The sequence below is a fragment of the Homo sapiens genome, chromosome 11, assembly GCF_000001405.40.
Source record: "Homo sapiens chromosome 11, GRCh38.p14 Primary Assembly".
NCBI classification, from domain to species: Eukaryota; Metazoa; Chordata; class Mammalia; order Primates; family Hominidae; genus Homo; species Homo sapiens.
Genome location: NC_000011.10, coordinates 33,470,324 through 33,484,609, shown reverse-complemented (window position 1 = coordinate 33,484,609; position 14,286 = coordinate 33,470,324). Strand labels below are relative to the sequence as shown.

Genomic DNA, 14,286 nt, shown 5'->3' with positions numbered 1-14,286 from the left:
GATAATCTCATTTCATTCTCACAACGACTCTAGGGAGGTGAGTGGTCACAATTCCCATTATGTGGCTGGAGAAGCCAGGTTACACAGGAATTAAGTAACTGGCGAAGTCCACTCCGACTATAAATGGCGGAGCTGGTCTTAGAACCCAGGCAGTCTGGCTGCAGGTTCCTTGCTCAAAACCATGGACCACAACATAGAAGAAATAGCCACAACAGAATTGAAGAATGCAGATCCATACCACATGACAAGGGGAATCAGGGGGAAGAGGAAAACAAAGGCGGTGATACTGAGATCTTAAAAGAGCAGTGATTTAAGACAACATTCTCCATTTGAAAGACATTCTCCATGTGGATATCAACAAATGGTTACAGAGTCAGGCTCAGGATTGAGGTCAAAGGCACTCATCAGGTTTCTAAACTTGAAATTCAAGAACAGATCCACCAGCTGTCCCCGAAGTTTAAAGACGAAATAACAAATAATAGAAATAATAGAAAATAATTATAGAAATAAGAGAATGCCATTCTGGTTTTTGCTCTTTGAAAAAGAAAAGGGTCTGGGAAGAACCTGCCCCAAATAAAGCCATATGCATCCCTCACAGCATGGATAGTATCTGACCAAGAAGACTATTTCCAAGATCAAATGGCCAAGCTAATTCCTCAGTGGGAAAGACAACTCTCAGAAATAGAGGATGTATTAGTTTATTTTCACGTTGCTGATAAAGACATATCAAGATTGGGTAATTTATAAAGAAAAAGAGGTTTAATGGACTCACAGTTCCATGTGGCTGGAGCAGCCTCACAATCATGGTGGGAGGTAAAAGGCACATCTTACATGGTCACAGATGGGAACCAAGCGAAAGGGGTTTCCCCTTATAAAACCATCAGAGCTCATAAGACTTATTCACTACCACGAGAACAGTATGGGTGAAACCATCCCCCATGATTCAGTTATCTCCCATGGGTCCCTCCCATAGCACATGAGAACTATGGGAGCCACAATTCAAGATGAGATTTGGGTAGGGACACAGCCAAACCATATCAGAGGAGGCCTAAGAGCAGCAAACATATGCCTGCCTTGCCTCGTGCCTGCCATGCCCAGTGGTATGCCAAGTGGGTCAGATTTCACCTTCATGATGTCTCTTTCACCATCTATTAATATATGTGTAATGCCCACCATGCCAGATTAGCTAAGGTCTCTAGGTGAATGTACCCAACCCACCCACATCACTTCCCAACATCATTCTGCTCAAGGTTCGCCTTCCCAAAGGGCGCCCAGAACGTAGATTTCTCCCCCTCAACAATTTCCAACCCTGTCTACCCCTCAAACAAGATATTTGTTACTACTGGACTGACAGGAGAATTTCTCCAAATCATTTATTACATAAAGGATCTCATTTATTCTAGAACGATGGCACTATTAACTAGGTTAGTCTCTGAGGTAAAGGCTTTAACTCCCAAAGCTGACAAAGACACCAGAAGGAAAGGATAGAGGAAGGAGAGGAGGGAAAGAGAGGAGGAGGAGGAGACAGGAGGGAAAAGGAGGAGAGAAAATGATGCATGAAAGGAGGATGCAGGGAGAAAGGAACAATGGGAGGAGATAGGGAACAGCGAGCTGGATAGTGGCTTATGTCTCTTATGAAAATACCAGGAAACACTGAAAATTTTAAATCATGAATAATCAGAGCTTGTCTTAGTCATATAAATCTAGTATAACTTTTTAAAAACTACTTTATAATGTATAGCAACAGGTGCTGTGGCTCACACCTGCAATCCTAGCACTTTAGGAGGTGAGGCGGGTGGATAACTTGAAGTCAGGAGTTCAAAACCAGCCTGGCCAACATGATGAAACCCCATCTCTACTAAAAACACACAAATTAGCCAGGTATGGTGGCACGTGCCTATAATCCCAGCTACCCAGGAGGCTGAGGCAGGAGAATCACTGGAACCTGGAAAGTGGAGGCAGCAGTGAGGGCCAAGATCATGCCACCGCACTCCAGCCTGGGCGACAGAGTGACTCAGTCTCAAAAAAAAAAAAAAAAAAGTATAGCATATGCAAAGATAGCTCTTAGATACACGTAATTGTTAAATATGTGCCAAAAGGAACCGAGTAAAATTCAGCATTAATTTTTAATTAATTTTCCCAAAAAAGGTGCAGATTTTCTGTCTTAACCTGGGGGAAAGGTTAAACATACTTATCAGTTTTATAGTCACTGGGGGGAAAAAACAACAATGTCCCATTGTCACCACCTCTATTTAACCTAGCTCTAGAAATTCCAGCAGATAACTATTCAAGAAAAAAAAAGTATAAAAATTGTGAAGAAAAAAATAGAAGTGTCAGTATTTCAAGATGACGTGGTTATAGTCCTAGAAAATTCAAGAAAATTAACCAGAGAATGACTTGCTCAAAATTGAGGGTATAAAATAATCCTCAAAAATCAATAACCTTTGCTTACACTAGTGCCAGACAGCACAAAGAAAAAAAATCCAGGAAAAAAATGCTATTTGAAATAGTAATACAAAACATTAAATATCTGCATATTCATTTCACTTAAGACACACATGACTTAGGGAAAGTTATAAAACTCTGTTAAGAGAAATAAGGAAAACCTGAATAGTGTGATGCTTTCTGCTCCAAGGGCAAATTTCTAACTTGCTCTGAGAGAAAGAGGAGGCAGAAGGAGAACTGAGAATTACAGGGAACATGGGATGAGCCCATGGGCTTAAAAGGTGCAGTTAAGAGCATAATCCTCGTTCAGGTGGTAGAGATGCAAACATGTCCAATGTAGACTTATAAATTAATCCAATATCATTAAGGTCTATTGGAACACTTTCTAGAGTGAGACAAGCACACAGTGAAATTTACTCAGAGGAATAAGGAATAACAGAGACTTCTTTTTTAAAAAGTGAGGGTGGGTCTGTCCTACTGGACTGCAAATTATAAAGCTGCAGTTATTGAACGTACGTGGAGCTGTATTAAAAGCAAGCATCCCTGGGCTGGTATATATTCCAGAAACAAAATTCAAGCTATTAAAGGAACGTAATAAATGACATATCAGGAGTAACACAAAAGTGGAAAAGAGAACTACTGTTAAATGCCAACTTAAATAAAAAATGATTTATTGCACTTTAGGTCCTGGTGACACAAAATAACTTTTAAACCAGGCAACAATTTATGCATTAAAACTATCTAATTTGTATTAAAAGTGAAAAATTTCCAGTTTACCTATAGAACAAACTTCTACATGTACCACTAGCCTAAAATAAAAGTTTAACAAAAGTGAAAATGAGATAGCATTCTTACTACTGAAGAGATAAAAAAGAGCAATGCCTTGAGAAATAAATAAATAGTAATATCAAAATACGACAAACATAATTGATGAAAGTTTTACTACTCAAAGTAGCACATGTAAAGAACTGATATAAATATATACAAAAAGCCCAGATGCTATTCATTAAGTGGGCCACAGAAGAATGGTCCACTTAGCCCAAAGGAAGTCTAAACGAGAAAAAAATACAGAAATGCACTATTCCTAGCCATTAAAGAAAAACAAGCCAAAGCAACTTTAAACTACCACTGAACACATTAAACTAAAATAAGTACAAATAGTAAAATTCAATGTTGACACAGTTCTATGGGAAAAAAATGTGAGTTGCTAATGGTAGATTTAGCGGAGGGTGGAGATGGCATCATGTCCCTTAAGCAGCAGCTAAATCTGACTCCTACATCCACGTGATGTCCTAGGAGGGAGCTGGGCTTCTGATGGGGGTGACACATGGCTGCTAGGAAACTAAGCCATAAGGCCCCCAGCCTTGGCAAACAGTGGCAGTCTCACTGCAGAGTTTGGCACAAAGACTGCAAAGAGTCTGGCACAAACGGAGAATAGGAAAACCACTAACTTTCAAATGGCCCACCAGGACTTGGGTGATGAGCTTCTTGCAGTGTCTATGTGGACTGAAGACCAGAGATCCTTCCCCAAAATTTCTGGTAACCCCTTGTAGCTTTGTTACAACCTTAGGGATACAAATCACCATCCCAAACACACAGTTACCATATAACCCATGAATTACACTTCTAAAAGTATACACCAAAGAGAAATGAAAACATCCATCCACACAAAAACTTGTACACGAGTGTTCACAGCGGCATTATTCCTAGCAGCCAAAAGAATCCATTCACTCATGAACGAGCAAATAAAGTAAAGCCCATCTATACAATTGAGTATTATCCAGCCATAAAAAGGAATGAAGTTCTGATACATGCTACAGCACGGCTGAGCCCTGCAAACCTTATACTAAGTGAAAGAAGCCAATCAAATAGGCAAATCCACAGAGATAGAAAGGAGATTGGCGGTTGCCTGGGGCTGAGAGAGTTGGAGGAAAAAGGAGAGTACAGGGTTTCTTTTGGGGAAGAGGAAAATGTTCTAAAATTGATTGTGGAAATGAACTTGTAATTTGAATATACTAAGTCACTGAATTACACACTTTAAACGGGTGAGCTGTATTGTATTTGGGTTATATCTCAACAAAGCTATTTTAAGCACGCGTGCACACACACACACACACACAATCATTAATATGAACCTCCCTCCAACTCTGATACATGGAGGCTTGAAGCCAAATTTAACTTGATTTAGGAAAACAAGCTAATAGGCTGTCTCTTACAGCTCAGTCTTTCAAAACAAGTTTCTGCGTGTTAAACATACCACAGTTTTTAAATGGAGACCCTAAGGAAAGCTCTGAGCCTCTCTTCTGCTACCTTGCTTGGTCCTGAGAGTCCTGCCTTTTCTTCTTTCTTTTCTTCCCTTTTAAAATCTGTTTCTCAATCAAAAATGTGCCCGGCATTGGCTCCTGTTTTCCCTCCCAACAATTCTGCTAAAAACGCACCCCTCAATTCAATTTCCAGACCTAGGGTGACGCTCTTAACAACAGAAAAGGTTTGAGAATCACAAGCTCTGTCTCTTTAATTCCAATATAACAGAAAGCCTTCTCTTATTCTCCGATGCCACTTTCATTTCAGATTTTCTAATTCAACTTTTAAATTTCCCACTGATTTTCCATTCTTGGCACTTCTTCCCCTTTCTCTTTGGCACAGCCACTTCAAGGGCCAGCTTGTCATCTGTGCAGCCCAGACCTCCTGCCCACTGTTGCCTTATATTTTGGTTGGCTATTCATTTTACCCTTTGCCAACCTCTTCTAACTTGGATGTCCCCCAGTTCCCTCCCTCGACAAACCATTTGTAAATTTCACATTCTGGCTTTTCTTCCTAACGCTGGCCAATCACAGATGAAGGAAGGCCAGGTGGCAGCTCCCAGGTGGCATGAGTGTCACTTGAATGCCCTCTGGCCTTGCCTCAGCCTCTCCTTGTTGCTACAAGTGCAGCTGAAGGCACCTAGCCCAGGAACCCCCAGCTCAGTCCAGCAAATCCATAGAAAGCTTCCACTTCCATGATCTCAGCTTTACCTCTTGTCTACCCTAACAAAGGCAAAGAGGATAAAAACATAATGAGCACTGGTGAAAAAATATCTGAAGATATGCAGATCTGTATATATCCCATATATGTCTTCATCTCCTTTGGATTCAAATTCTGGCTCTACCATTTACTAACTGAGTAACCTTAGGGGCAACATGCCCAAGTCTGAGCTTCCTCATTTGTGAAAATGAGGATAATAATAGCACCTGTGGCTGGGCATGGTGGCTGACACCTGTAATCCCAGCACTTTGGGAGGCCAAGGCAGGTGGATCACGAGGTCAAGAGATCGAGACCATCCTGGCCAACATGGTGAAAGGCAGAGGTTGCAGTGAGCCGAGATCGTGCCACTGCGCTCCAGCCTGGCCACAGAGCAAGACTCCGTCTAAAATCATAATAATAATAATTTAAAAAAATAATAGCACCTCCTCAGAAATATTTTGAGGATTAAATGAGATAGTTCAAGTGAAGGGCTTGAACTGTGACCACTCTATCTGTCCATATAAAGCAAAATCATGGCTTACTGTTTACATGAAGGACAACATAAAAATCAGATGGAAAAAAATGCTATTCCTATCTGTGACCAGCTCTTTAAAAGGACAGAAATGGAGAACTCCTCCCTTGTTGCTATGCAGCCTTCTGCAGGCGGAGCCCATCAGCTCTGAAATCCGCTCCATGTGGTTATAACAGCTCTGCAGAGCTTGAAAAAACCTCTTTCGCTCTGTTCCTCCCCCAACGGGTTCAGGCCAATCTGTGTTTTCCCCAAGACAAAACTGCAATCCCTGCAAGACATAGCTTTGCAGAAACCTTTGCCCGTCTGGGGGGCTTGCAAAGCCAGGCATGCTTGTCAGGCTAGAACAAAACTTGCCTCTGTGAGTTCTGTTAGCATGGCTTCTGCTGGCAGCTGCTGCTGCAGGACTGCAGGTGGTGGTGCAATCGATACCATGTCATCAGTGAGTTCAAGGTCAGGTGAATCTGCATACCACAGAAGACAATGATTTTAATGTCGCTAGGTTGGTTCCCCTGTCCTGCCCTTTTACTGTAGGGGAAGTAAATATCAGAGAAACACTCAAGCCTTTCCCTTTTATGTGACAAGCCAACACCCCCTCTGGCTGGACCATAAGCCTTCTGTCTAAATGTAGCTGGACCTCTTGTCTTACCTGTAGTTCACAGGTCTCCACCTATTTTAGTACAGCAGGTGCTCTGTGCCTCTGGGGCTGTTCCTTGGGTCTATGAACTTGGACAAAACGTAAGTGGTTTCCCACAGTGGTGTGTGTGTGTGTGTGTGTATGCATCTGTGCATTCAGCAGACATTTATTAAGCACCATGGTAGATCAGACACTGTGCTGGGTGACAGAAACATAAAGACAAATTATACAGTCCTTCGAGGAGCTCACAGTTCTAGGAAGTGAGGGTGGGAGCAAGTAACTGACAATCCCAAGAGGGGAGGATGTGCTCAGACAAAGCCATCTAAAGAGATCACCCAATATGAGCACTTTGACCAGCACCCAGTGATTCCCAAAGCAAATGGCACCTTAACAAGGCTGGAAAAGTGAGCAAGAGTTAACCGAAGAGAACCACATGCAAAGGGGGGTAGTGTCGTGTGTGTGTGTGTGTGTGTGTTTGTGTGTGTGTGCGTGCACCTGCGTGGCACTCCACCACAGATTATTCATCACAGTGCCTTTCTAAAAACCCTACATTAAATATCTTACATCTTGAAATTTATTGTGTTCCATCCCATTGGGCAGAAGGTCAGAGAGAACATTTCTGTGAGTCATACCTCACTGGATTTCTACATCTTGTTAAGCGTTCACTTTTTCTGAAGTATCAGAGACAGACTTCTCAGCTCCCCACCCAGTGTTCCAAAAGTGGTGGGGGGCATTCTACCCAGGTAGAAACACCTCCTCCTCCTCGGGCTCAGGCCACACCAAGAAGGCTCCAGGGAGACTCCTCTGGAGAAGCAGGCTGACTTAGCTCTATTCTTAACTGACACAGCTCTGCTACTACTGAATAACAACCTTCTTGCATAGATACTGAAGTGTTACTGCCTTTGGCCTGATCAAGCACTGACCATGAGTTGCCAGAACTTCAGTCTGGGGGTCAGCCCTCTAGGCTCCAGTTTACTGGCTTGATTCATTCATTCACTCAATCACTTATTTGTTGAACTCCCAACTGTGCCTAATACTCTTACAGGTGCCAGAGATACAGAACCAAACAAAACGCACAAAGCCTACATTCTAATGAAAGAGACATACAATAGACATTAGTAAATAAACGAGAGATGTTCAAGTAGGAATAGGTTTTGTGAAAAAGCAAAGATAAGACAGGGTAACGTGTTTCAGTGTGACGTTAGGAGAGTTTATTTGTAATAGGGTGCACATTTTTGTGCCCCTCTAAGGGGACAACTGAGCTGAGACCTGAATGATGAGCAGGAGCTGGGAGGTTGGGGGCAATGCGCTTGGAAGAAGGAACTGCAAGGTTCTGAAAGAATGGTGAGCTTGAGAATTCCAGGGATAGCAGCTGAAGTGTAGGAGCTACGAAGAGAGGTGAGAGAGGCCAGGACAGGTAGGTGCCAGTAGGCTACTGTATGGAGTTCAGACTTTAAGTACAATGGGAATCCTTTGAAGAGTTTTAAGCAAAATGGTGACACTATCTGACCTTTGTTGTTTAAAGACTGCTGTATCAAAACTGCTCTGGATTCTGGGCGTCTAGCATCTACTAGTTCCTCCTCTTCTTGGATAACCTCTTTGAATTTGACCCGTGGCTTATAAGCTTGAGGCTTCTCTAGTTCAACATCTGGCACCAGCCTCTGGGCTGACCACAGAGAGAGATGGAGGTGAGCTTCGCCAATGAGCACACACCCCCATTCATTCATCTCGATGTCTTATTCCCTAATCAGCATGGCCTATGCACTCATTAGCCAAGTCCCTGATTACAGAGTAAACTTGTCTTTCAACAAAACTGCAGATTCTTGTTCCCTTCAAAGCTGCCTTGGCAGTTTGCCAATTTCAGCACAGTAATAGATTTCCTGAGAAGCATTCAAACTTGCCGTCTCTCCCACGGGCTATTGCCCAGACCAGTTGTGTGGAGTTTCCAGGTTTTAAAAGATCATGTGTGTGATCTACAGCCAAGCTTCTCAAGCAGGGATGGGCACATGTGAGGGTTTACTGAAGGATACTAATGTGACCAGGCCCACCCCAGATTTAATGAATCCCAACCTGGGGGGAGTTGGGTGGGGGGCAGGCGGGAGAGAGACTATATTTTTGTTTGTTTTAATTTTTGAGATGGAGTCTCAGTCTCACTCTGTCACCCAGGCTGAAGTACAGTGGCACAATCACAGTTCACTGCAGCCTTGATCTCCTGAGCTCAAGTGATCCTCCTGCCTCAGCCTTCTGAGCAGCTGGGACCATAGATGTGCACCACGTCTAGCTAATTTTTTTTTTTTTTTGAGAGAGCGAGATGAGGGTCTTGCTATATTGCCCAGAATGGTGTCAAACTCCTGGGCTCAAGTGATCCTCCTGCCTCTGCCTCCTAAGGTGCTGGGATTACAGGCATGAGCCGCTGCACCTGGCCTTTTTTTTTTTTAAAGAGACAGGATCTCACTCTGTCACCTGACTGGAGTACACTGGCATGATTATAGCTTACTATAACCTCGAACTCCTGGGCTCAAACGATCCTCCCACCTCAGATTTCCAAAGCCCTGGGATTATAGACGTGAGCCACTATGCCTGGCCAAAAACATATTTTTTGAAAAGTTCATTAGTCAAATCTGATATGCACTTTTGTTTAAGAGCCATTAAACGGAGAAGAAACAGGCTATATTTACAAGCTCACCACTGCAAATTCTTTTCTAGAACAAGGCTAAGTAAAAAATGAATAAATATGCATCCATACACTAGCAGCCACAGTACCAGAAGAGGCAAAACTACCTCCAGCTTCTATGAATCAGGGCTCCATAAGAAAGAAAAGACGAGGTGAGGAATTGGGTGTTAGGGGCATATACAGCTCTGGCCCCCTCTGCTCAGAAAGTCATTGCAGGAGAATGAGAAGCTCCCTCTTTTGCACACTCGCTGCTTTAAATGTTCACAGCTCCGCAGCAGCAACCAGCAAACCCACACACCCAGAGTTCTCAACACCATATTCCCTGAAGATACATATTCTGCAAGGCTTTCAATTCCCTTGGATATTCCCGTGTGAGTTTAAAATATTGCAGCCCTCCTTAATTAACAAAAAAAGTCTATAACACCAAATAATTAGAATTCCTCCACCATTCCTCACGCTGGAGTGTTTATGAAGATGACAGGCCCTCGCCTGGAAAAAGCAGAACCAAAATAAACTGAGCAGCAATTAGGCTGCAGCCATTTCGTTTGGCAGGTGTTTATTGGGTACCTACTGGGTGCCAGTTTCTATGCAGTACTCTTTGCTGATGCCATTTCATTTAATCCTCCAACCCACTTCCCAAAGTGGCTATTATCATTATCTCTCTTTTACAAATGAGGAAGTTAGGAGCCCAAGGGGCAGTTAAAGGGCTTCCCCAAGGCATAGCATTAGTGCCAGGATAGAGAGTTGAACCCAGGCTTGAGTCTAAAGTGGGTGCTCTTTCTCTCAGTCTCTTAGAATCGCATATTGTCAGGCATTGTCACACATGTGATTCTAAGACAGCGAGAGAAAGAGCTCTGTGGAACTTAAAGATGAATTGGCCTTGCATCCCTGCCCTCAAGTTGCTCACAGAAGAGCAACGAGCAAGGGAAAGGTTATATAACTAAAGTGTACGACTGAATGTGATCAATGCTGCATAATGAAAGATATGAGCTCTGGAATCACGGAGGTGGGGCAAAGTAAGTCCAATTCAGGGCAAATTTAAGGCTTCACAAGCCAGATGACATCTGATATAGTTTGGGTGTTTGTCCCCTGTAAATCTCATGTTGAAATGTAATTTTCGATGTTGGAGGTGGGGCCTGGTGGGAGGTGTTTTGGTCATGGCAGAGGATCACTCATGAATGGCTTGGTGCCCTCCATATGGTAATGAGTGAATTCTAGCTCTGAGTGCAGGAGACAGCTGGTTGTTTAAAGAGCCTGCCACCTTCTCCCTCTCTCTCTTGCTCCTACTCTTTCCATGTGAGATGCTGGTGCACTTTCCCTTCCTCCATGATAGAAGGCTTCTTGAGGCCCTCACCAGAAGCAGATGCTGGAGCCATGCTTGTACAGCCCGCAGAACCAAGAGCCAATCAAACCTCTTTTCCTTATAAATTATTCCACCTCAGGTATCCCTTTATAGTAACACAAAAACAGATTTTTTTTAATCTGTTTTTAAAATACAGCATCTTAGGACTTCCCAGAAGGGAGTAGGATTTGACCAGTGGAGAAGATAGGAAAGGTTATTCTAGATAAAGGATATAAAATTAGCCAAGAGGGGAGAATGAGGAAAATGGTCAGGGAATGGGGACTAATCTAATATGACTCGAAGGGAACGTGCATATGAGACCAAATGGTGGAGAGCCTTTGAATGCCATGCTCGGAAGCGGAGAACACAGTCTTTAGGCAAAGGACACTATAGTAGGCTGCTTGGCAAAGGAATGAGATTATAAGACAGGGCCTTTGAGAAGGTAACTATAATTAGGCCACTTTAAACTGCTGATAGTTCCTCTCACCAATGAGCCTTCACGCGTGTCTTTCTCTCTTCCTCCTTTCAATGTCCTGACAACTCCTATGCAACCTCTAAGACTTGTCTTGGACATCACCTCCTCCAGGAAGTATCCCCTGTTCGCCCAAGATTGGGTCAGATGCCCCTCCTAGGTGCTTCTTCAGCACCTGGGTTTGACCCTACAGTACTTAATACTCTACATTAAAATTTCCACTTGCCTCCTCCTTTCCCACTAGACGGAAGCTCTTTGAAGGTAGGGACTATGGTTATTCATCTTTAATTTCCCCAAATCCCTGATTTTGGGGGTACCCTAATAGCCATTCAATAACTATTTGATGGATTAACATGAACAAGCATCAGAAAAGCCCCAAACAGACACTACAGCCACAGCCATCCAAGTCTGAAGTACAGACACAATTTGATTTATTTGTTCTTTCACTCTTCCAACAAATGTTTCTTGTGACCCTATTTGAGACCCTGCACTGGGCTCTGGGTTTGGTCACTACAGGGTGGCTGCCTTCAAAGCAGCCCCTACTCATGTTCCTGGTCACACATTGGAAGCTGGAGCACCAAGTCCAGAGAAAGCCCTGTTTCTCAAACTGGAAACAGCCTGGAGGTAAGTAGAAGCATGGTAGGAAATGAGGGAAGCTGCAGCAACTAGTAAGGTGAATCTCTCCAAAGTACTGATTTTACTTATTAGATTTTGCAGCATGAGAAACATGGATATAATACGGACTGTGGTGCAGAATGTGCACAATTTTAAGATAAAAAATGAGACCTGAAAGAAATTTTTGACATGCAGTCAGCAACTATTTCAGGCTATACCTACTGACTTCTCCAGTCTGAGATCCTTCTCTGTTCTTGGGCTCCTGAACAGAGACAGGAGCCTCTGTAACAGAAAGTCCTGGCTGTCTTCCCAAATGACTTTCTCGCTTAGTATTAGAACACTCCAATATTAGCTAGGTATGTGGCCCCTGGAATTATAGTTCCTGGTCTCCCTTGTACAGCCATATGGCTAGGTTTTGTTCAATTAATGTAGGCAGGAGGTTACTCCCAGGAAGTGTCCTTAAAAGGAAGAGGGCCAGACTCAGTGGCTCACACATGTTATCCTAGTGTTTTGGGAGGCCGAAATGGGAGGATCTCTTGAGGCCAGGAGTTTGAGACCAACCTGGGCAACATAATGAGACCCTGTTTCTACAACCAAAAAAAAAAAAAAAAAAAAAAGCCAGGCATGAGGCATGTGCCTGTAGTCCTAGCTACTTGGAAGGCTGAGGCAGGAGGATGGCTTGAGCCCAGGAGTTCACTGCACTGTACTCAAGTCTAGGTAACGCAGCAAGGTCCTGAAGAAAGAAAAGAAAAGAAGGAGAAAGAAAGAGAGAGAAAGGAAAAAAAGGAAAGGAAGGAAGAAAGAGGCACCAACAGGAATGTGGAGATGATGCATAAAGTTTAAGAAGCCACTTTGGCTCATTCTGAGGCAACACTCAGAACAACAGAGCAACAGGATAAAAGGAGTCTGCATCTCCGGTAAGCCCAACTCCAGCCTTTTTACTCAGAGAATAAAACCTTCTATGCTTAAGCCATTGTCTGCTTACTTCCATGAGACTGTTCATAAGGTTCTGATAAAGAAACCAAGGGCTCAGAGACTCGCAGAATGTACAACCCAGGATGGACCTCAGAAACCTGGCTCTGTTCCTGCCTGCAGAGTCCATGCCAGATCTGCACCTACCTGGCAAATTCCCTGATAGGGCTAACAGATTTTGCTGTGAGTCAACATGTGAAAGCAGTTGGAGAGATGTTTTCTCTCTTAGCAGGAGGGAAGGAGACTCCTTCTAGGGAGAGACCTTAGAGAAAACCTCCACTGTTGGGTAAAGGCTCTGATGAGCTCATTAGGCTAGAAGTTGTTTTCTTCAAAACCTGAATGAGACTTCTAAGAAGGAATAAAGCTGTTCTGAGTAACTGAGCATCAACAATTGGAGATAGGAATAGGGAGATCTGGAATGAAGAGAATGAGGAGAGAGAGAAGAAGGGATGATTAAGATGGAAGAATGCTATGCCCTACATGATTACTCCAAGTGACCCCTTAATCTTCATAAAGTTTACCAATGTTGCAAAATGCTTAGCATGACTGCATGACTTAGAGAACTAATGAAGTGGCTAAGTTTACCATCAAGGGTGACATGGGGCAAGAACTCAAGAGGGCACACCCAGAAGCAGGTGCTAGAGACAGGGAAGATGCTGGGCTGGGATCAAAAGTCTGAGAATGTTGAAAAAAAAAAAAAAAGGTTCTGAGATGGGCCTTTGGCTTCCCTGGGCCATAAAAAGTTGAGGGGCAGTAATGGTAGTGGTGTTCAAAAAGATTTCACTATGAATGCAAGAAACTTAGCCAGGTGCAGCGGCATGCGTGTAGTCCCAGCTACTCATGAGGCTGAGGCAGGAGGATCCCTTGAGCCCAGGAGTTTGAAACCAGCCTGGGCAACATAGCAAAATTTAGTCTCTTAAAAAAAATGCAAGAAACTTATGGAAACACCTAACAAATCACTAAATCACACTGTAGCAGTACTCTGCCCATTCACCAACACTGCCTACTTCCTCCTGCAGCCAGAATCCTGAGTGGAAGTGGCACACTAGCATTAAAAGCTTCTCTCTCAAGGACACAGAATAACCAAAACAAAGCCAAAGAAGAAAACAAAACAAAGAAGAAAAAAGTCAGAAAACTCTAACTTCCTGGATTTTAAAACTTACTACAGGCCTGAGCACAGTGGCTCATTCCTATAATCCCAGTATTTTCGGAGGCCAAGGCGGGTGGATTGGCAGGTGGATTGCTTGAACTCAAGAGTTCAAGACCAGCCTTGGCAACATGGTGAAACCCCCATCTCTACCAAAAAACAAACACACACAAAAATATTAGCTGCGTGAGGTGGCATGTGCCTGTAGTCCCAGCTACTCTGTAGGGTGAGGAGGGAGAGGTGAAGGCTGCAGTAAGCCATGATCACACCACTGCACTTCTGCTTGGGCAAAAGAGTGAGACCCTGTCTGAAAAAAAAAGCCAAAACCAAACAAACAAACACTTACTATAAAGCTACAATACACTATACTACAGTGTGGCAGTGGCATAAAGATGGACATATGAGATCAATGTAATAGAACTGAGAGTCCAAAAGTAAACCCTTACATTT

The 14,286-nt window shown here is 43.3% G+C and overlaps 1 protein-coding gene across 9 annotated transcripts in view, besides 1 other annotated feature; it reads right to left on the bottom strand.

Moving 5' to 3' along the window:
* KIAA1549L (KIAA1549 like) overlaps nucleotides 1-14,286 on the bottom strand; it is a 297,995-nt gene that overhangs the window by 189,493 nt on the left and 94,216 nt on the right. The window lies entirely within an intron of this gene.
* Nucleotides 6,175-6,464: an enhancer, noted in NCBI's record as "active region_4578". NCBI's record gives its function as "activates an Ori minimal core promoter by ATAC-STARR-seq in GM12878 lymphoblastoid cells {active_cell/tissue: GM12878}" and the evidence as "EXISTENCE:reporter gene assay evidence [ECO:0000049][PMID:35858748]".